This window comes from Homo sapiens, chromosome 1 (assembly GCF_000001405.40).
Source record: "Homo sapiens chromosome 1, GRCh38.p14 Primary Assembly".
Lineage (NCBI taxonomy): Eukaryota > Metazoa > Chordata > Mammalia > Primates > Hominidae > Homo > Homo sapiens.
Window position 1 is genome coordinate 109,815,800 of NC_000001.11, and position 20,910 is coordinate 109,836,709.

General features: G+C 48.6%; 1 long non-coding RNA gene across 1 annotated transcript in view, besides 4 other annotated features; it reads left to right on the forward strand.

Annotated features, from left to right (window-relative positions):
* Positions 428 to 547: an enhancer, noted in NCBI's record as "active region_1453". NCBI's record gives its function as "activates an Ori minimal core promoter by ATAC-STARR-seq in GM12878 lymphoblastoid cells {active_cell/tissue: GM12878}" and the evidence as "EXISTENCE:reporter gene assay evidence [ECO:0000049][PMID:35858748]".
* Positions 698 to 747: an enhancer, noted in NCBI's record as "active region_1454". NCBI's record gives its function as "activates an Ori minimal core promoter by ATAC-STARR-seq in GM12878 lymphoblastoid cells {active_cell/tissue: GM12878}" and the evidence as "EXISTENCE:reporter gene assay evidence [ECO:0000049][PMID:35858748]".
* Positions 918 to 997: a silencer, noted in NCBI's record as "silent region_1159". NCBI's record gives its function as "represses an Ori minimal core promoter by ATAC-STARR-seq in GM12878 lymphoblastoid cells {active_cell/tissue: GM12878}" and the evidence as "EXISTENCE:reporter gene assay evidence [ECO:0000049][PMID:35858748]".
* Positions 7,543 to 7,592: a silencer, noted in NCBI's record as "silent region_1160". NCBI's record gives its function as "represses an Ori minimal core promoter by ATAC-STARR-seq in GM12878 lymphoblastoid cells {active_cell/tissue: GM12878}" and the evidence as "EXISTENCE:reporter gene assay evidence [ECO:0000049][PMID:35858748]".
* LINC01768 (long intergenic non-protein coding RNA 1768) overlaps positions 12,255 to 20,910 on the forward strand; it is a 77,840-nt gene continuing 69,184 nt past the window's right edge. The window contains exons 1-4 of the long non-coding RNA XR_001738180.3: positions 12,255 to 12,652; positions 13,138 to 13,331; positions 17,267 to 17,388; positions 17,501 to 17,616. This is a non-coding gene — a long non-coding RNA (long intergenic non-protein coding RNA 1768). The remainder of the gene's footprint in view (positions 12,653 to 13,137; positions 13,332 to 17,266; positions 17,389 to 17,500; positions 17,617 to 20,910) is intronic.

A 20,910-nucleotide genomic window follows, 5' to 3' on the forward strand; every position in this document is an offset into this window, starting at 1 on the left:
GAAAAAAAGGTCATAGCAGATGTGATTAAGGATCTTGAGATGGGCAGATAGTTTTGGACTATCCTAGTAGGGCCTAAATGCAATCACAGATACCCTTAAGAGAGAGGCAGAGGGAGATTTGTCAAAACAGAAGAGGAGAAGGCCATGTGACTACAGAGGCAGAGACTGGAGTGATGTGGCCACAAGCCAGGGAATGCTGGCAGCCACCAGAAGCTGGAAGAGGCCAGGCACAGATTCTCCCACGACACCTCCAGAGGGCGTGCAGCCTGACTGAAACTGGATTTTGGCCCAGTGATACTGATTTTGAACTTCTCTGCCCTCTGGAACTATGAGAGAATCCATTTCTGTTGTTTTAAGCCACCAAATTCATGACGATCTGTGACAGCAGCCACAGGAACCTGACATAGCTGTCAAAAGTGAGGCTGGCCTGCAGCTGTTCAGCGTGCTCTTTCCTGAGGGCCTGCCTTCCTCACTCCAAGCTGCCCAGGCTGAAAAGAAAATGAGGCTGCTTCCTCTAGACATCCTTGAGAGGGGCTTATCTAATGAGTTCTGGCACTTGTGAGGAGGGGTGTGTGGATGTGGAGCCTACTCTTGCTCTCCACTAGCCTGGCTGGTGGTGAGGGGTTGCCCAGCAACCACAGAGGCTGGCAGGGCTCCCCACTGTGCCCTGGTTTCTCCTCAGAGCAGTTCTTGCCCTGAGTATTGTTAGAGTGCAGAGGCTATTAAAAAAAATGAAAACACCAACCCTCAAAATAACTTCCCAGGTTCTAAAAATGGAATTCTGCCCAGTAGTAATATTTCTCATTCTTGCAATAGTAAAATTTCTCACTTCCTCGTGCTCTGTAGGCTTGTGTCTGGCCCAAGAGGGAACTGCTATTAATGGCAATTTCTGCCTGATGTAATCCCCTTGGTGAGCCACCTGCCTGTGGATGGTGACACTCCTTTACCCAACAGGCCTTGCACCCTCCTCCACAGAACCTCCCGCAGCGTGTTAGGTTTTTGTCTGCTTTGATTGATATCCATAGTCTCTCTTGGTTCAGAAAATAATAACAACAATGATAATCAACCAATTACTTATATAGCTCTTATAATTGTCAGGCATTGTCCCAAGCACGGAATGTTTATTAACCCATACACTGCTCATGACTGTCCTGTGGGGTAGCTATTAGTATTATCCTCCTTGTACAGATGAGAAAACAAAGTCATGGGGAGGTTAAGAACATGTACAAGGGCACATAGCTACCAAGTGGCTGAGCTGGGGTTTGAACCCAGCCTGAAGGGCTCTGGGATCAGAGCTCTTACCTCCTGCATTGTATTGGCTGGCTGGAGGAAGGATGGGGAAGCCTTTCTCTGTGCAAAGCGAGCTGTCCTGGGCAGCTGATTTGGGCTTGCCCCCGGTGGGCCCTTGAGGTCTTTTGAGATCAGGGCTGTGATTGCCTGGAGAGGTCTCCCAGCAGCACACACTCTACCTTAGTGCCTTCCATATTCTCTTCCTGCTGGGGTCATTGCAAAGCCTGTGACTATGAGCAGGGTGAGGAATTATCCTTCAGATTTTGGGCACAGACCTCAGATGGGTGTCCCGGAGGAACCAATGTAAAGTCCTCAGGCCTGGGTGTGGGGTGAAGCTGGTTCCATTCTGCTCACATTTACTGGGCAGTGTGTGGATAAATAGCCCACAAGAGCGGAGGATGGTCCTGGGTGCTGAGACTAGAAGGGGAGCAGCCTCCTTTCCTCTCCTCATGGGAAGGACCTGTGGGAGAGGGGCAGGAGGAGGACGAGTGGCCTCCCCCAGGGCCCTGGGGTGAAATGAACAGGTGCCCATTCTCTCTGTCCTGCCCAGGGATGGCCTGATGTCTTACATGAACAGAGCCTAGAAGTTGGAGTGAAGAGACCTGGCTTCTAGTCCTCGTTCTCCCAAGTTTGAGGTGAGGTATCACTCTCTCTGTGTCCCAGACTTCCCCTCTGTAAACCAAGGGATTGGATGCGCTTTGATACAAAAAATCCCTCTCTAAAACCCATAACTGATCTGCAAATCCAAGTTGGTTTGCTGTGTTTTCTCTGTGAGACAGCAAGCCACAAGCAGCCAGATCCAATGCTCACTTTCAGCAACTCCTGTCATTTTGTCACTGTGCTTGCCTCTCTTCCCTCACTAGCGAAATAGGGATTAAAACACTCATCTCAGAGTTGTGAGCCTTGAAGGAACATCGCATGGAAAGGCCCTTCTTGGAAAGGCAGAGCCCTGCCCTATGGGACCCATCAGAGAGGGGCCCCTGCTCACCTGGACTCAGATGGGGCTGGGGGTGTGGATACTGGGATCTTCTGGAGGTAAAAGGAAACCAGGTGAAGAGATTGCAGACTGGCAGCTCTGACCTGGACAGGCAGACACATTTTTTGGTCCAGCAAAAATAGCACACTAGAAAAAAAATTCTAAGTGTCTTCCTGGGGAGAGGATAAGTTCCACTCTCTAGTTCACCCACAGAACCCACGCCTCCCTGTTATCTTACACAGGGCTGGGTATGGCAGGCCCATGAGCTCATTGAGTCCTGCCTTCAGAAAACCTGGACCAGGGGGTTTGGATGTTCCAGGGGGCAGGACTGATGCTCCTCCCATCCTCAGCCCCACCCAGGTCTTGGCAGAGCCCAAGTGGGTGTGTTGTGGGGGAGTCCTGAACTGGTCTGGGCCTCATCGCTCTGCTCTCACCCCCAACCCCAGAGATGAGAGCTCCAAGTTCAGCCAGCTGGGTCTGCTGCCTCCTTGCCTCTGATCTGGGGTCCCAGAACTCCTCTTTTCCCAGAGGGGGTCAGGGCAGAGGGAGGCAGTGTCCCTGCTGGGCCTGTAGAGGAAGCTGAGGGCTGCGTATACCCTGGCCAGCAGCCCAGGAAGCCTGAGCATGTAATGAAAAGATTGCATCTCCTCGACTCTGCTGTTGGGGACAAGCATTTCCAGTGTTGTCCTTGCCCTGTGACCTCTGTCTGGGCACTGCCTCCCCTGCTTCCTGGCTCTGTTCTGTCCCTTTAGGCAGGCTCAGCAGCCCCATCTCAGCTGGTTCTGGGCACAGAGAAGACAGAGACCCCTTTCTCCTCTTCAGGTCTCCAGACGGCCACCCCAAAGGGTGACAGACGTGCCTCCCATTCACATGCCTCTTTGCTGTTGGCAAAGCAAAGTCACATCCATCCTGGAAGGGACACCCCAGCTCTACAGAGGCCACCCAGCTGTGAGGGGATGAGCTGCACCTCCGACGTAAATCTACTGAGTGTTCACCCTTGCGCTGGCCCCCTAGTCCATCCTGACTCCCTGTGTTGTGAGGCCCATTTGTGGGAGGCAGAGTAGGGTGTGGACGAGGTGCATAGGATAGCTGAAGAGCTGCTCCCTGAGCCCCAGACAATGGCTCTGATGAATCCAAATAGTCATGGAACACTGTAGCCTTTGCAAGTAAGACCATGAGATATCAAGACGCCCCACAGTCACCAGCCTCACTAGTAGAAGGAAGTAAAGCAGGCAAGCACTCTCAGCAGAGAAAGGGACCAACTTCTGGGGATACAAAGGAGAGGGAGGATAGGGCCAGGCATGAGGGAAAAAGTCAAGGGTAAGAGCCTGGGCAGCTGGGCAGTGGGGAGAGCTTCCAAAGGGACAAGCCAGTGGCCAGGCCACATGGCCCTGTCTCCCATCTTCCCTGTGGCTCTGTGGCTGATCAGGAGCTGGGAACAGGCACATGCTTTCTGGGCCTGGTGGCCTGGGCAGAGAGGCTAAGTGTGACTGTGGGGACCTCTTCTGCCCACGAATCCACTGATTCCTGCCACAAACCCAGGAGGCGGGTGGGCCCATCTTGTTGTACAGCCTGGATGGCTGCAGCCTGGAGATGAAAAGGGACCTGCCCAGAGTCTCCCAGGCTGGGGCCGTTTTCCCCAGTCCTGGTAGCAGCAGCAGCGGCTGCTTTTTGTTGAGCACTTCTGTCTGCCAGGCTCTGTGCTGAGCACTTTATAGGCACCACCGTTAGCCCACTTCTCCTACAAGGAGACCAGGACTCAGAAAGAAGGTCTTACCCAGAGCCAGTGTCAGGAGTTGAGTCAGGGTAGTTTGACTTCATAGTCTCCGTTCTTAGCACAACTTCCCCACTCATTCCCTCCTACCTTCTCCTTTACCCCCACTAGACATTTTGGGTGGTCTTTTCTACTTCTTGGCCCTAGAGGTCATTGGGCTGCTTTTCTCACCCTCAATCCCCAGGGCTCCTCCCGGAGCCGCAATGCTTGGGGAACTAGGGATTTCCCTCTTTGCCTTCTGCCTGGGCCTCCTTCTTGCCCTTGAAAGAGGAACAGGGGGAGGAGTAGGTGAGGCTTTGGGGTAAGTCTTGGGGGTAGGCACAGGAGAGGTCTTCACCCCAGGCTGGAATCTCCAGGTAGCTTAGTGTCCTCAGCTTGGTGTCCCCAGCCAAGGCAAGGATGGGTGGGGAGAGTGGCATTGGTCAGGGGTACAGCTAATGAGAGTGGTCAGACACGTCCTGATTTTTTTTTTGGAGGATTTGAATCCTCAGGACATTTAGGTCCTGCAGCCACTCAACATTTAAGGCTTATCCCTGCCAACTCATACTAGGGCCACCAATAGTAGGCTGGTGCTCTGTGGGCATTCTGTGGCCTGTAACTGTGCTGGGCTGCAGGGCTCCTGCCAAGCTAAGGGTGGTCCCTGCCCTTTGAGGGGGTGGTAGGAAACATCTTACTTTGCTGGAAGGTCAGGGAAAACCTAGAGAGCAGATCCTCTAAGGATGTAGGAGCCAGACCAGGAATGAAGGGCAAGGTATCCCCAGCTGTGGGAATGGTACGGGCAAAGGCGGGGTGTCAGAGCAGACCCTTAGTGGGAAATTGTTTGATAGGAGGTCCCCCATGGCTCTGGGTTCCACACCTGTGGATTCAACCAACTGCATATACCCTGGATAAATTGTGTCTGTACTGAACATGTAGGGACTTGTTTTTTGTCATTATTCCCTAAACAATAGAGTATAACAACAATTTATATAGCATTTATATTGTATTAGATATTATAAGTAATCTAGAGATATTTTAAAGTTTATGGGAGGATGTTTATAAGTTATATGCAAATACCACACCATTTTATATCAGGAACCTGAGCATCCGTGGGTTTTGGTATCTGCAGCAGGGTTCGGAACCAATATCCAAGAGATTCCGAGGGATGACTGTAGCCTGGGTGGTTGGAGCTGGGGAAAAGTGAGAGGGTAGGTTTGTGGGAGGGAAGGGTCACATCCTGACCATCTCAGTACCAGCTTGCAGGGCAAGTCCTTCATGCCAGGGCAGCAGGGAGCCATCGAAGGACTCTGAGCAGGACAGTAATGTGGCCTTACTTGCTTTTGAAAAAGCCCACTCTGACTGCAAGAGAGGTGTGGGGAGAGCAGTTAGGAGGTGCCAGTGGAGCAAGCACCCACACACGCTGTGGCGGAACTCTGTGATGAGCACCCAGAGCAACTGGGACCAGTGGTGCAACTGTTGCCGAGGCCAGCTTGGTCATCTTCCTCTCAGCTGGAGAAGGACCTGTTTGGCTGGAGAATTGAGCAGGCGCAGAGAGAAGCACATGTGGCTGGTGTGAGTGTGGTTGAGGAGGTTGCTGTTCGTGCTGATGAGTCAGTGGCCTGTGCCCCATGCCAGTAATGCCGGCTTCCTGGGATTGGGGCAAGGATTCAGAGAAGGGCGGGGGTGTGAGGGAGCAGGAGGGGGATACCCTGGGGAGGCTGTGGGTTGAGAAGCCCAGGCTGGCCTTAGTTCCTACCTCTACTTACACTCAGAAGGGCAAATTAGTTTCTGACTACTTACAGCCAGAGACGGTTTGGGAGCCTCTTCTCTACACTGAGGCTGGGCAGCCCAGGTTAACCCCTTTATGCCCTGCCTCCTCCTCAGCCCTCCTCCTCTGGGCCCTGGCACCTGGGGTGACCCAAGGCAGGACTGGGAGGCAGTTGAACTTGTTTCCTTCCTCCCTGAGGTGATCATATCGTTGGCTTCCAGCTCTCCCAGCCTGAGAATCCAGGGTCACTGTTGGTCCTGATGCCCTGCCCAGAAGCCAGTGCTCTTCTCCAGGCCTCCCCTCCCTAGCAGATCCCATCTCTGCCAGCTGGCTCCTCGGAGGGATGTAAATAACCAACCCAGATTAGCTGGCCTTTCCCTAAAGCCTTGGGCGTCATCAAAAGAATGAACAATGGTAGAATGCGAAGCATCCCGAGGGCCCAGGGTGGGAACCATGATTGGGCAGGTAGGGGCTGTTAAGGCTTCTCAGACCACAGCTCCGACACTCAGAAGGTCCAGACTCCAAGATGGGGTAGCCTTCTCTCAGGGCTTCCTGGAGCTGTGTGCTGAGGGTCCATGTGGGGGTGGGCGGAGTGGCTGTGCAGAAGGCCACGGATGTCAGCCCTTGGCTCAAGAGAGGGAGGTCAGGAGACTTCTGGCACCACTGTCTTCACCAAATGCAGGGCCTCAAAGATCGGAGGGTGAGTCACTGGTTCAGACTTGGCGACTCCCCCGGTCCAATCAGAGGGTGGTGGGAGGTCTGAGGGAGAACCCAGGGCAGCCTCTCTAGGGCAAGGGGATAGGGCCAGGGCTAAGGGAGCAGGTGCTTCTAGGGAGGTTCCATGAACAGTGGAAAAAAAGGACCGAGCCAGGCAGGAAAGATGACTCCATGAGCTGTCCCTTCCTTGGGTAAGGCAATGAGGAGTGGGTGGAGCTGAGGGCTTGCTGAGTAATGTCCTCACGGAGAATGGCCAAAAATAAGGAGGATGTGTGACCCTTGGGTGGCTCAAGGGCCTGTGAGGTCATGCTCCTGGCCTCCGCTTCTCCATTTTCTCAAGATAACAGGGTGCCCTCCTGATGCAAGCTCCTTAGTGACCCGAGAGAGGACTCTTTGGACTTGTATTTGTTTATTCATTTAACAACCACTCAGGAGAAACAGGAGAGTGCTCTGGGGGTCCAGGGCTGGGACACTGATACACAAATGGTTAATTGCCATTTATCGGGTCAATGCCATTGCATGCAGAGGTCCGAGGACAGAGAGATGTAGGGGCACAGAGAGAGGGGTTGGCTCTGCTGGGTCATGACAGGGAAGGCTTCACAGGGGAGGTGGCACTTCTTGAAGAAGGAGTAGTGACTGGCTGTGAGAGGAGAATGGGAAAGGACATTGCAGACAAAGGTCAGGCAGCATCCCAGGGCCGGGGAAACTGAAGGAGGTGCAAGGGAGAAAGGACATGCAGAATGTGGTGGGAGCTGTGACAAATCATCAGCATGGCTGCTTAGATGGGGAGGCCAGCACAGCCTCTAGAGGGTTTGCCAGTCCACTCTTGGGTGAAGAAGGAGAGCAGATCTTGCTCTAGCATAAAGAGTGTGGGGCCTGGAATCATGAAAGCCTGCATTCGAGTCCAGGTTATACCGCCTAGCAGCTGCTGAGCTTGAGCTGGTCACTTAATACCCCTAAGCCTTGATTTCCTATCTGTGCAGTGGGGATTCACTGTGACTGAGGTTTCTATAAGCAGATGTGACACTGCTTTGCAAGCTGTAAACAGCTCTGCAAACTTGAGGCATCACTAGGGTAGCACTTTAGCAGCAGCTACTTCTGTTTTGACCTTTTTGGGGTACCATTTCCTGGGGAATGGCCACAGAAGTCTGCTCTCATCCAGTCATCAGGGGGTGATGTTTTCTGACCTTTTCGCTAGGCTCTATGGGGTCATTTTGTTTGGGACCTGCTGCTGCTGCCCAAGGCCTTGGGGCCTGCTGCAGTGAGCTTGGAGACAAGGGGTCCACAGGCTGAATTGAGCCCTGAGGCTGGACAGTGAGGCACGAGAGGGTAGGGGCAGTGGACCCACAGTGGGACAGGGACCCTGAGGCAAAACAGAACACTCGGGCAGCAGGTGAGTGAGGCTGGACAGAGAAAGGGATTGAGTGAAAACTAGAAGAGTGAGGTGGACGGAGGTCCCTGATCTCGGCAAGGAAGTCTGCTGCCTTCACCCCCACTGCCTCACACCCCCTGTTCTCAGCATCTTCAACTTTGGGGCTGCCTGAGAAGGCAAGCGCAGAAGCGGAGGAAGGAAGGGCTTTTTAGCTCCACGGGCCTGTGGACGCCTCCATTCCGGCCTGCCCACCCCATATCATGGCAGCAACTCCAACTCCCTCTGACCCCCAGGGTCACCCTGGCTCAGCCTGGGCAGTGTCCCCAGTGGTCTGTGACTCAGCAGTTCTTGGCCAGAGGGTGGAGCCCCAGCTGGCTGCTGAACTCTGGTCTCCACAGGGCTGAGGCTTCGCTCGGGGCCTGGAGGTCCTCAGCACCCGGCCCGGCTCCTGCACCCTCTCCAAGCCTCTCATCCGCTCCAGTGGTCTTGGAGGTCCCTCTGTCCACAACACCGTGGTGCCAGGACGGGGCTGTGCTCAGTGACTCAGCCTGGCCCTCTTATTTGCACTGAGTAGGTGCCACAAATATTTGTTGAATGGAATTCTTGCCTCTCATTTGGGATTTTCCACTGCAGCCAAACAGTTGCTCCCAGCCCTGCCAAGGGCTTAGCCTGGTTCTGCATTTGCCCTACACGCACGCACACCGTAACGTCTCTTCCCCACCACACCTTACTCCTCCTCACAAGCACCCCTGCAAATTGCTCCTCAGAACCACTGCCTCCCCCAGCGTGTGCTTACAGGACTCTGCCTTCTCTTTCCTCATTGTTTTCCTTCTTCTATGCATGTCTTAGCAGGGGTGACCAAGGAAAACAGGCCCCGAAGCAGAATCAGTCATGGGGACCTGTTTGTGTGTGCTTGCGTGCAGAAGAAGAGCCGCCTGTTGTAGGCAGGGCAGGGAGGGAAGGTTAGGCTTATACACTGCAGGAGACCAGACTTTGGTGTGAGGATGAGGATAAACAGGTCTGCTATAGGTCAGGTGACCACACATCCTGGTTACCCGTTGCAGGTCTGGCTTTTGCCTCTTGTTCTAATTATTTAATAGCACCATAAACTATATGGCCACTCTACTCAGAGGGGCTGCCACAGACCCCTAGGGCCTAGGGAACTAAGCTCGTGTTGTGCCTCCAGGACTCGGCAGGGCAACTCAGCCAGGTCTGTGCCTTTCCCTTCCACCTCATGCACCCAGGGGAGCATCACTGTGTTGACTGAAACAGAGTTTCAAGGTTGAGACAGGTTCATCAGGTACACAGGTAACAGGACAGCCCCTGGTGTAACTGTAGCGTGAATTGCAAGGGCATAGGAGCATCCAAGAAGGTCAGGTAAGGGCTTTGCAAGCCATAAAGTTCCCAGATATTCATAACAGCTAACCCTTACAGTTACTTAACATACTGCTAAACAACCCCATGATGGGGAGCCTATTATTACCTCAATTTTTTTTTTTTTGAGACAGAGTTTCGCTCCTGTTGCCTAGGCTGGAGGACAATGGTGTGATCTTGGCTCACTGCAATCTCCGCCTCTTGGGTTCAAGCAATTCTCCTGCCTCAACCTCCCAAGTAGTGGGATTACAGGCGCCTGCCACCACACCCAGCTGATTTTTGTATTTTTAGTAGAGACGGGGTTTCACCACATTGGCCAGGTTGGTCTTGAACTCCTGACCTCAGGTGATCCACCCACCTCGGCCTCCCAAAGTGCTGGGATTACAGGTATAAACCACCGTGCCCGGCCTGCCTCAATTTTACAGATGCAGAAACAGGCAGAGAGAGGTTATGGGATTTGACAAAAGTCACACAGTTAGTAAGTGTCAGAGCCAGCTTTGAAATCCAGGCAGTCTGTCTCCAGAACCACGCTTTTAACTGCCATGTCACAGTGTTTCACGTCCAATACTTCAATTATGAATATATCTGCCAAGAGGATTTTGTGAGAACTAAATAAGGCCAAATATATCAGGTGGCTTTGTAAACTAGAGTCATTTTTGCAAACATGAACCAATTGTAAAGTATTTAAGAAATAGTCAAATTGTGTCACACTGTGGAGATAATGAAAGTATTTGCAAACTTCTCCTGAATCTGGTGTTTCAAAACTAACCATAAACTGAGATTATGAAAATGTCCCCTTCTTTCCTTCCTTTTCAGATGAATACATTGTAATGGAATTATTTTGATGGTTGGTGTTAGATTCTATTTTTATGATCAGTATCATGACAAGTCCAGTCAACTCTATTCTAAGGTGCCTCTTATATAGAACTCCTCTTTCCTGTCTTTAGGGTGTTATCCACAGCCAAGTCTTCACATCACACCTAAATCACACAACAGCTTCCTCCCCATCACTCTGCTTTGGGCCACTCTCATCTCACATCCATCCTTTCCAAAGCAGCTTGAAAATACAACATGGTTTCCCCATTCCAAGGAACCCAGAAAAGGCCTGCAATATACCCAATGAGAAAATGCAGGAAATAGAAATAGTAGGATTACGGGGGAAAGAACTGGCAGATGGTATAATTGCATACCTAGAAAACCCAAGAGAATTCACTGGAAGGCAAATATAACTAGAGTTTTTTAGGTAGCTTAAAAGTAACAACCAACATTTATGCAAAACACAACCCATGCCAGGGTCTGTCCTAAGCACTCTACATGCATCACTGAGTTCCCTTCCACTACTATTGTCCTCATTTTGTAAACAAGGAAACCAAGGCACAGGGAAGTTCGGTGGCTTGCCCAAGACCCAGGCAGTTCACCTCCTGTGTCTGCTTTCTTAGCTACTCTGCTATCAATAGCTTTCCTGTGTGCCAGCAATGACTTCTCACAGAATCTACTAGGAGAAAAAGAGGCAGCCATAACTGCTTTCAGAGGTACTGGCATTTCACTTACTACCTCACTTTACCACCTGTGTCCCTCAGCAGCTATGATTGTGGCCAGAGTCCCATGAAGCCTCTCACAAAGTAGTCATCAGTGTCTGGCCCTTATATCACTAACAACAGGGGTCCCAGGCTTGGGCTAGGGGTCAAATGGAAAGAAACATGGCAATACCCCATCATGAGGCTTGTCCCTCCCCTTGCAGGAGCACATTTTGTCCACAGCAGCCTGTTTTACAGGGAGCAACTCTGTCTTTAACAGATACAGCAGAAATCTTCTAAAAATCACAGCTCCATTTCAGGACAGGACTTTTGGTTTACATTTCTGTAACTAAAAGGCCCATTTGGGGAGTTTTTCCTGAATAAAAGGACAGAGTTCCCCAAATGAGTACTGCAGCTTCCACTTCTTATCAGAAGGAAACTCACTGCAGCTGTGCTGGCCGGGCCCCAGGCACAGCCGTGGTGGCTGCCCAACACGTGAAACCCGAAGAAGATGCGGATGGCGCCATCTTGGTTTGCTATGGAGCACGTGAATTACAGTTTTCTTCATCATTTTGAAATTTTTCCAGAGCAGAAGCAATATTTCTTATCCCGTTAATCATTTCTAGGGCACCAAATAGCACTCTGAAAGGAACAGGGCACTAATTGGCTGGTTGACTAAGCTGCAGCCTAGGACCCTCCCTCCCGAAGAAGCGAGAGTAAGCAATATTTATCAAGCACCCTTTATATGTACACAGTGGGTAGGTACTTTCATAGGTCATCTTATTTAATCCCCACTGTAACCTTACGAAGAAAATGTTGTTACAATCACTTTAATTTTAATTTTTTTTTTTTTTTGAGACAGGGTCTCACTCTGTCACCCAGGCTGGCATGCAGTGGCATGATCTCGGCTCACTGCAACATCCCACTCCCAGGCTCAAGTGATCCTCCCACCTCAGCCTCCTGAGTAGCTGGGATTACAGGCACATGCAGCCATACCTGGCTAATTTTTGTGTTTTTAATAAAGACAGGGTTTCATCACACTGGCCAGGCTGGTCTTGAACTCCTGACCTCGAGTGAGTCACCCTCCTTGGCTTCCCAAAGTGCTGGGATTATAGGCATGAGCCACTGTGCCAGCCTGTTATACTCACTTTAGATGTGAAGAGACTGAGGTCCCAAGTGGGTAAGGAACGCTTAGTACATACATAGTGTGGCTCAGGCTTGAATCCAAAACCCATGGTCTTTCAATCCTTATAGTTCATCTGTATAGACTTGGTGAAAAGGCCTAACGTGGGTAGAATGTGAGTGCCTCAAGAATGACAGCAAGGCAGCCATGGTGGGACACTCCTGCACAGGATGAGAGAATTCCAAGGTGGTGGGACTCTGGGGTAGGGGGCTAGGGAGAGAGGTAGGACTTCTAAAGACTGATGACAGCCTCTGGGATGTCACTCGCAGGAGGGTGCCCATCAGACTGAGCTTGTACAGAATGCTCTTTCGGTGGTCTGAGCCTAGCAAGGCCTGCCCGCCTGCCGGCTCCAAGTCTTCTCTGCCCTGAGCCTGTCTGCAGGATGAGACAGCATATGGGGACATGGACCAGTGGCTTTCCCAGCCCAGGACCTTTGCTGCTCCTCAGGACTGAGCCGAACCACAGCTCTTCTCACTTGGGCCAAGTTAAATGCCAGGGCTGTTGATACAGTAAACAGGAAAAAGGGCATTTGGATTTGGTCCCTGAGGCTGGGCCTGAGGGGTCAGGCTGCCCTCCATGAGGAACAGGACATGGTAGGGACTCGGTTGCCGCTTCTCTCTTCTACTGTCCCAGCTGTCTCTGTTTTTTAGGCAACTTTCTGTGGCTTTTTCAAGAGTGGAGATTTGGCTGGAGCAGGATTAGGTAAGAAAAGAGGGAACGGAGAGAGATGGGTGGTGGGACTGGAGGTAAGGACGGAAAGGATGGAGTTGGCCATGGAGGGAGGGGCCTAAGCCACTAGAGCAGCATCTACTGAGTTCTTACCTTGTGCTAGTAATGGTGCTGAGCACTTCATGGACACCATTTCTCTGAATCCTCGGAGCCACTTAAGGGTTAGGCACTCTTATTACCCCATTGCATTGATAGGGAAGCTGAGCTTAGCAGACACCTGGACCCAGATCTGTCTGACTCCCAAGCCAGCGATCCTGTCCACTACATTGTGGAGGGGCAGGGGATGGGGCGGGTGTGGGGAGGGGTTGAAGAGAGACACTGAGAGAGCCCAGGGAACTCGGGCAGGGAAGGCTGGCCCAGAGTTGAGATCATTGCAGTCCTGGGCTCCCCCTTCCTGTGGCTCCCTCGTTGCCACCCCAACTGCACACGCTCCTGATTGGCAGGCCTGTCTCTTTTAGGAAGCCTCCTGCTACACGCTTTCCCTGAGAAAAACCTCCTCTCTGGAAGGGGCCTGAGGTGAAAATGATTCAGAAGGCAGCTGAGGAGTTCTGGAAAGAGCCCCAAAGACCAGGCTCTGAGGCCTCCCTGGGCCACTTACTAACTAAATGGGAGAAGATTACTTGAGAAAAAGCCTAGAACAGTGCCCAGCATGGTAGGTGCTCATTTAAATTTTTATCTGTAAAAGCAGAGATCATATCCCTACCTCAGTCTGTGATCAGGTTGGGCAGGTATTCTGCATGTGAAAGTTCTTAGGAAACTGTAAAGTTATTTAATTGTAAGCGTATTAGTATGATCTCAGGAATGTGTGTATTTTATGAGAGAGCTAAGTGTCAAGCCAAGGGATGAGTTGACTGGCTGGGAAGTTTTTTTGGGCACAGAAAGTCCCCGCTGGTTCTCCAGAAACAACCTGAAATCCCACAACTTGTCTCCAGCTGCCCCCTATGAGGCTGGAAGCCAAGCTGAGCTGGTACAAAACCCTCAAGAGGAACCCTAAGGCTCGAGGCCATGGAGCTTCAGAGAATTTCTCAAGGAGAAGAAAGTTGTCTTCAGATGTTACAACTTAGCTTTAGATGGCAAGGAGGCTGTTTCCTCAGAGAGGGGCTCGCTGTGATTGCACAGGGACCATGGCCAGGCAGTAGTGCCACAGCTCTGCAAACTGGCTCCATAGACCAGAAGACAGACAGAAGACAGGTACACAGATGGGAGTGCAATGCAAAGGGGCTGTGGGTTGCATACTGCAGCTGGAAGACACAGCTTTTTGGATTTCCCTGAATTCCTGCCAGGCACTTTTCTCCCGGACGACCTTCCTGATGGCACTAAGAACTTAGCTGCTTTACAGCTAAAGGCACTCACCCTTCAAAGGGAGTTATTGCTTGCTCAGGTTATATAGCTCCGAAGAAGTGGATTAGGGATTTATATTCAGTTCTGTCAGATCCAGTACCCAATTTCTTTTATTTATTTTTCGAGACAGAGTCTTGCTCTGTTGGCCAGGCTGGAGTGCAGTGGCACAATCTTGGCTCACTGCAACCTCTGCCTCCTGCATTCAAGCAATTCTCGTGCCTTAGAATCCCGAGTAGCTGGGATTACAGGCGACCACCACCACCCCCGACTAATTTTTGTATTTTTAATAGAGATAGGGTTTCACCACGTTAACCAGGCTGGTCTCGAACTCCTGACTTCGGGTGATCTGCCCACCTCAGCCTCCCAAAGTGCTGGGATTACAGGCGTGAGCCACCATGCCTGGCCCAGTACCCAATTTCTGACTATTAAATGGTGTGGCTTCCAAGTAGCATCAACTTTTTAAAAATTCAATTTTATTTTAAATTATGGTGAAAAAAAACACACATAGCATAAAATTTACTCAACAATTTTTAAGTACAGGTTGTTAAATCTGTCTACTCTGGAACTGTCTAGAACTTTTTCGTCTTGCAAAACTGAGACTCCATACCCCTTGAATAACAATTTCCCAATTCTTCCTCCCTTTAGCTTCTGGCAACCACCATTCTATCTTCTGTTTCTATGAGTTTGACTACTTTCATTATTATTATTATTTGGATACAGGGTCTCACTCGTTGCCCAGGCTGGAGTGCAGTGGTGCGATCATGGCTCACTGCAGCCTCAACTTCCTGGGCATAGGTGATCCTCCCACCTCAGCCTCCCTAGTAGCCAGGACTACAGGCGTGCACCACCACACCTGGATAATTTTTTGTAATTTTTTTTTGTAGAGACGGCATTTCACCGTGTTGGCCAGGCTGGTCTCAAACTCCTGGGCTCAAGCAATCAACCCGCTTTGGCCTCCCAAAGTGCTGGGATTACAGGCATGAGCCACCGTGTCCAGACTGAGTTTAATTACTTTAGATGCTTCATCTAGGTGGCATCATACAGTATTTGTCTTTTTGACACTGGTTTATTTTACTTAGCTTAATGTCCCCCATGTTGTAGCGTATGACAGGATTTCTTTCTTTTTAAAGATGGAATAATATTCCATCGCATGTGTATACCACCTTTTCTTTATCCGTTCCTCCTTCGATGGACATTTGGGTTGGTTCCCCCTCTTGGCTATTGTAAGTAATGCTGTAGTGAACAAGGGTGAGCAGCATTGTCTTTTAAAGCAAAGACATTTGCATGTGTGTACACATATGCATAAAAGTATGGGCACATATTCAAGTGTGGTATATACATACGCCTCCACTGAGGGTAGACCCAGGCATAACCTGCCTTGGTGTATACCTCAGAGCAAAGTAACTCTGTAAAGCAATCACATATTCATGAAATAATGTCAGGTTTTAAAAACTTTTATCAAATCAACAGAGCATTTAAATGCAATTGAAACCGCCTTTGCAAAATTATGACTGAGACAGTGAAAGAGATCTAACCTTACTGACTCCATCTTGCTTCTAGCCTCAAAGCTGCCCTTGTAGGCTGGGTGTACGCTGAACTAATTTGGGGGGAAACTTAGTTTATAGTTTAAATAAAGATGGTAACAGCCCTTTCCCAAAGCAGGCCTCCTTCTTGCCTGGGGACTAGATTGCCTTTGTAGGACTAACATTACCTGCAAGATTAGAAATTATGGTTTAGGAGTCATGCAGCTGGAGACTTCAAGATTCCGATCCTCCCTAAACTGCTCCTAAGATCATTGCTTGAGATATTTTGTAGACCCTGCGCTTGATGAATCAGCTGGCACCACCCAGATCAGTAAACTGGTTCATCTGATCTTGTAGCCCCCACCCAGGAACTGACTCAGTGCAAGAAGACAGGTCCGACTCCCTATTATTTCTTTCTTTCTTTCTTTTTTTTTTTTTTGAGACAGGGTCTCACACTGTTGGCCAGGCTGGAGTGCAGTGGTGCGATCTTGGCTCACTGCAACCTCCACCTCCATATTCAAGCGATTCTCCTGCCTCAGCCTCCCGAGTAGCTGGGATTACAGGTGGCTGCCACCACGCCCGGCTAAGTTTTATTATTTTTAATAAAGATGGGGTTTCACTATGTTGGCCAGGCTGGTCTTGAACTCCTGACCTCGTGATCCACCTGCCTCAGCCTCCCAAAGTGCTGGGATTATAGGTGTGGGCCACTGCACCTGGCCTGTAATTTCATCTCTGACCAATCAGCACTCCTGGCTCACTGGCTTCCCCTCACCCACCAAGTTATCCTTAAAAACTCTGCTCCCTGAATGCTCAGGGAGACTGATTTGAGTAATAATAAAACTCCCGTCTGCAGCACAGCAGCTCTGCATGAATTACTCTTTCACTGTTGCAATTCCCCTGTCTCAATGAATCAGCTCTGTCTAGGCAGCGGGCAAGGTGAACCCCTTGGGCGGTTACAAATTTGGGGGCTCGTCTGGGATTGCCCTTGTGGCTACTTGCCCATGGTTCAGTGGCCTCCTCCCCCAGCGATGAATCCAGAAGTCAGCCCAAGCGGCAGCCTGGTTCTCTTGGACTGGGGGCTGACTCTGGTATTTCTCTACTGGCAGGGCACTGCCGACCCGATGTGCATGGATTTAATTGCAGTGGAGAAAGAGTCCTAGGGAGACACCACTTAATTGTAGCCCTATCACAGGGCGTCTGTCTGTAGCCCCATGGTGGGATGTCTGTAGCCCCATTGTGGGCTGTCTGGATTGGTAAGTATCCTAGGCACTGCCAATGGCTTCTTCCTTCTCCTGACTGGTTATGTAGCCCTATGGTGGTGTGTCTGTAGCACCATTGCAGGGTGTCTGTTCAGCTCCTGTGGGGGTCTCAGTTGGCTCTTTCTAACTAGTCACACAGCTCCGAAGGTCTAATAGGAAGAGTCCTGGTTTGGGAGACTTGTCTTCAATCAGGAAGATTTCGAGGAGTTTTCTCAGAAGGAGACTAGGAGAATAGTTTGGGAGGGATACTCTTGGAGTTCTTGGTTAGGGATCTGATTTAGAAGGCCTTCTGTCTTTGCATGTGTTCGTATATTTGGAAGGAATCTCAGAGAGGTTGCTGATGGAAGTCCAGCAGGCCTAACTCAGAGAACCCTCCTTATTTGTCTGGTCACATTCGATGAGCTCTAAAGAAGGCTCAACAGGCCTGTCTCAGGGGGTGAATATCTGCTCTTCCCATTGCTCAGATACCCCGTTGTGAATTACCATTTGGAGGTAGTCCGTCCCCACCTGGAGTGGATCAAAGACAACAGAGGCCAACGGGGAAAAAGTTTGAGCTTTGCCAGGCTGATATTGGCTGCTGAATAAGGTGACTAATGTCTGTTTTGTTATGTGTATTTTGCTGGGATGGAAAATGTTAATTTGGTTTCCCATGCAGCCCGTCAGGCAGCATCTTGCAAATAAAGAATCTTGTCTTACAGGGTGATTTTCTCTTGTAAAATGGCTTGAACCCCAAAGCTATAGCACAAGCAAGCAGGGTCATCAGAAGCCACTCCATTCTTCTGGAAGCTGCAGGGAAATGGAACCCAGAAACCAGGTATGACAGCAAAAAGGGTAAAAAATTCTTACCGGCCAAGTTTCTGATCTGTCTTGCTTTCTCTGTCTGAATAAACGGTAAACTATTTGTCTCCTCTGCAAGGGTTTGATTAACAGAAAAAAGGATTTGTGAGACTAGTCTTAAGCTGTAAAAATCTGGTGTGCTTTGTGCTAAGAATTTGTCTTTCTGTGTTCTGTAATGGAGAGAGGGGTATCACAGGATAGAACATGGGTTTAGGACCCCTAAGCCTGCTTTTAAAGTCAGCTTGGCAGGCTGGTCAGTTATAAACTTTGCTATGGGTCCCTGAAACCAATACGGTATGAAATTTCTCTGTTTTGTTTTGTGTCCTTAAGAGTTTAACCTTATGACCATGGGAGATACTTTCTTTTGGTTTCTACCACCCAGACGACAGGAATTTTGGGGTTCATGTCATAATCCTAATTTTTTTTTTTTTTTTTTTTTGAGATGGAGTCTTGCTCCCATTACGAGGGCTGGAGTGCAGTGGTGCAATCTCAGCTGAATGCAACCTCTGCCTCCCGGGGGTATTCCTTCCTCAGCCTCCCCAGCAGCTGGGATTACAATTTTTGTATTTTTAGTAGAGACAGTGTTTCACCATGTTGGCCAGGCCGGTATCGAACTCCTGACCTCAAGTGATCCACCCGCCTCAGCCTCCCAAAGTGCTAGGATTACAGACAGGCGTGAGCCACTGTGCCCAGCCTAAAAATTTTTCTTGAGCAATTAAAAGCCTTGCAAGCTTGAAATTGGCTTCTCTAGGCTCCTTCTGGGAAAAGCAATAGGAACTTCTCAATGCTGTATAGCTCGGTAGCTAAGGCTTTATCTTTTGACACTGGTGGCCTGGGTTCAATTGTTGGCTGCTGAAATGATTCATTTCTGGTTTGTTATTTGTGTAACGTTGCCATTTATTGAGGTTTTTTCCCATCGTAGATAGCTTCTGATTTCCTCTCTTGAATTTTCCTTTCTCTGAACTACCTTGTGGAGATTCTAAATCTTATAAAAAAAAGAAACTGCTTACCATGTCTTTGAAGCACCTAGGAGGTTACATTTGGTAAAGTTCAGAAGCTAGAAGTATTGGCCACTTGGCATGGCTAAAGTCAGGTAATAAGAGATTTGAAAAGATTTCTTTTTTAAAGAGCACTATGGTTAAAAGTTAGGTTAATTAAAAGTGGATAAACAAGCTATAGATGTATTTAAAAGGCCATTGTTTTTCTCTTCTTGGAACTTGTTTTTCTGGAAAAAGGTTTTTCCTTCTAAGTCGACTGAACTATTTTTCTCCATTTTTTTGTCTTGCCACTCTTAATACACACATCAGAGCCCCTAAGATAACTTCTGGTAGCTTGGGACTCCTTGGGAAAAACAGAGGAGGTGCTGCAGACCCCGCTTTGGGGAAAAAAACCCAAAACACTCTGTTTTCATCATGAAACCCCAGGAATTAATAGCGGATAGATCCCTCTCAAAATCAAAGGCTTGTTCTGTTTTGCATTGTGTTGTCTGACGGTTTTGAGTTTGGGGGGCATCAGAAATTACTTTGCATTATGAGAGAGCTTTGGTGTGTAATAACTAGGTAGGAAATATACTCTAAGGGATGGCTAATAGTAGTTAGGGAGGGGTACTTGACTCTTTGCACACTTGGATCAGAGAAGCATGCTCTTGGCCACCTGGAAGATAAGGAGACATCCCCACCCCCCACTGGGAGATGAGACTCTCATGAGGGATGGGCTGATTGCAAAATGGGCTGATTGGCTTTGGGTTGCTTTGCAATGAAATGCAGGGTAGAAGCACTGCACTGTCCTCTCCAGTAGTATTTCCCTCCTTTTGGGATCCAGGATCAGTATAAAATGGCACCCTTAATTTTGGGGATGTGTCTCTGCCTTCAGCTGCTTATTTGCTGCTTATTTGGCCTTAGAAATGCATGCTTTCCAGGCCCTGTTCCTCCAAGGGCTCCACCCCGAAGCCAGTAATCCAATTAAGAAACTGGCAAATGAAAAACCTTACAAGTGCCTAATCTTCTCTCTGTATATTTATATGTGTTGTATGTTTAGATATAAAAGAGCTCTGATTAATTGGCTTAGAAAAATAAGCGCTTAAATCAAATATTTTGTCAGAAAAATAGAAATTTTAATGCCTTTTTTTCTCGTCATTTTAGTAATCTTTTGGAAATAAAGACAGTTTTAAAGATTATTGGTAAAATAAAATGTCTTGAAAATGTAGACATTTGGTCTAAATTAAGATCAGGTATCAGACTTGCTAAATATTTTAAGTTCAAACTGTTTCTTTGACTTTTGAAAATTGTTCGATTTACCTACTTTGGAGCATTAGATTATAGATAATTCCTGCGGACATGGGGAGAGCCATGTCCGCTAGCTATGCTAAAAGGAGTCAGACCTTATCTTCATTTCTGTCTGATGTCCTAGGCTCCACCCCTAGTACATAATTAAAATCGCTTACTTGTCAGGTTTTTCACTAAAAATAAAAGGTGCTAAGAGTTAACATTGCAACATGTAGTCGAGACCGCTGGAGAAACAGTTTTACATACAAGGTGTGTAGGGAATGTGTTTTAGGTAAAAGATTATAAGAAGGCATGGGAATATGGCTTTTGTTAAAGGGAATGTAATTTTGTCTAGTTCAGAGGGTTTTAAAGATTGTCTTAACCTAAAAGAGTAATGGAACAAAACTGAAGGTTTAAGCAAAGTGAAAAGGGTTTGAAAAGGGTTGATCTTGTAAAACTTCTGTGGGTATAAACAAGTTGGCTAAGATTTAAAAGAAATTATTTAGCTTTTCCCCATAGGTTAAAACATTAAAATCATACTGATGTGGGGCCAGAATCTGGGCCCATGTGTACGAATAACAGGGTTTTCTTAGAAAATTGATCTGCTGTTTGATGGAAAATTGTAAAGGGTTCTAAAAAGTTTATGAAAATCTTGCCTTATGGTGAAACTAATTAAAACTGGATAGAGATATAAAATTTTATCTAAAAAACTAGCTTTAACGTTAAAAGATGCACTAATGCAAACAAGAAATTTGGTTTTCTCTTTTGAAGATGATTTTTATGTAATGTTAAAAGATAATGAAAGGGTTTTGTTTTCTCCTTTGGGTAAATGGCAGGGAAAAAAAAGAGGAGAGAGATAAGAGACAGATTGAGTTGGCCTCATGCTATCTTCATTGGGTCTTGTTTGGAAAGCTAAGTCTTCTCTATCAGAGTGAAGGTTTTTCTTTTTTAAAAATTGTTTTGGAGTTATCAATTCGGCCAAATGAATGATTTACGGTGATCTGGGA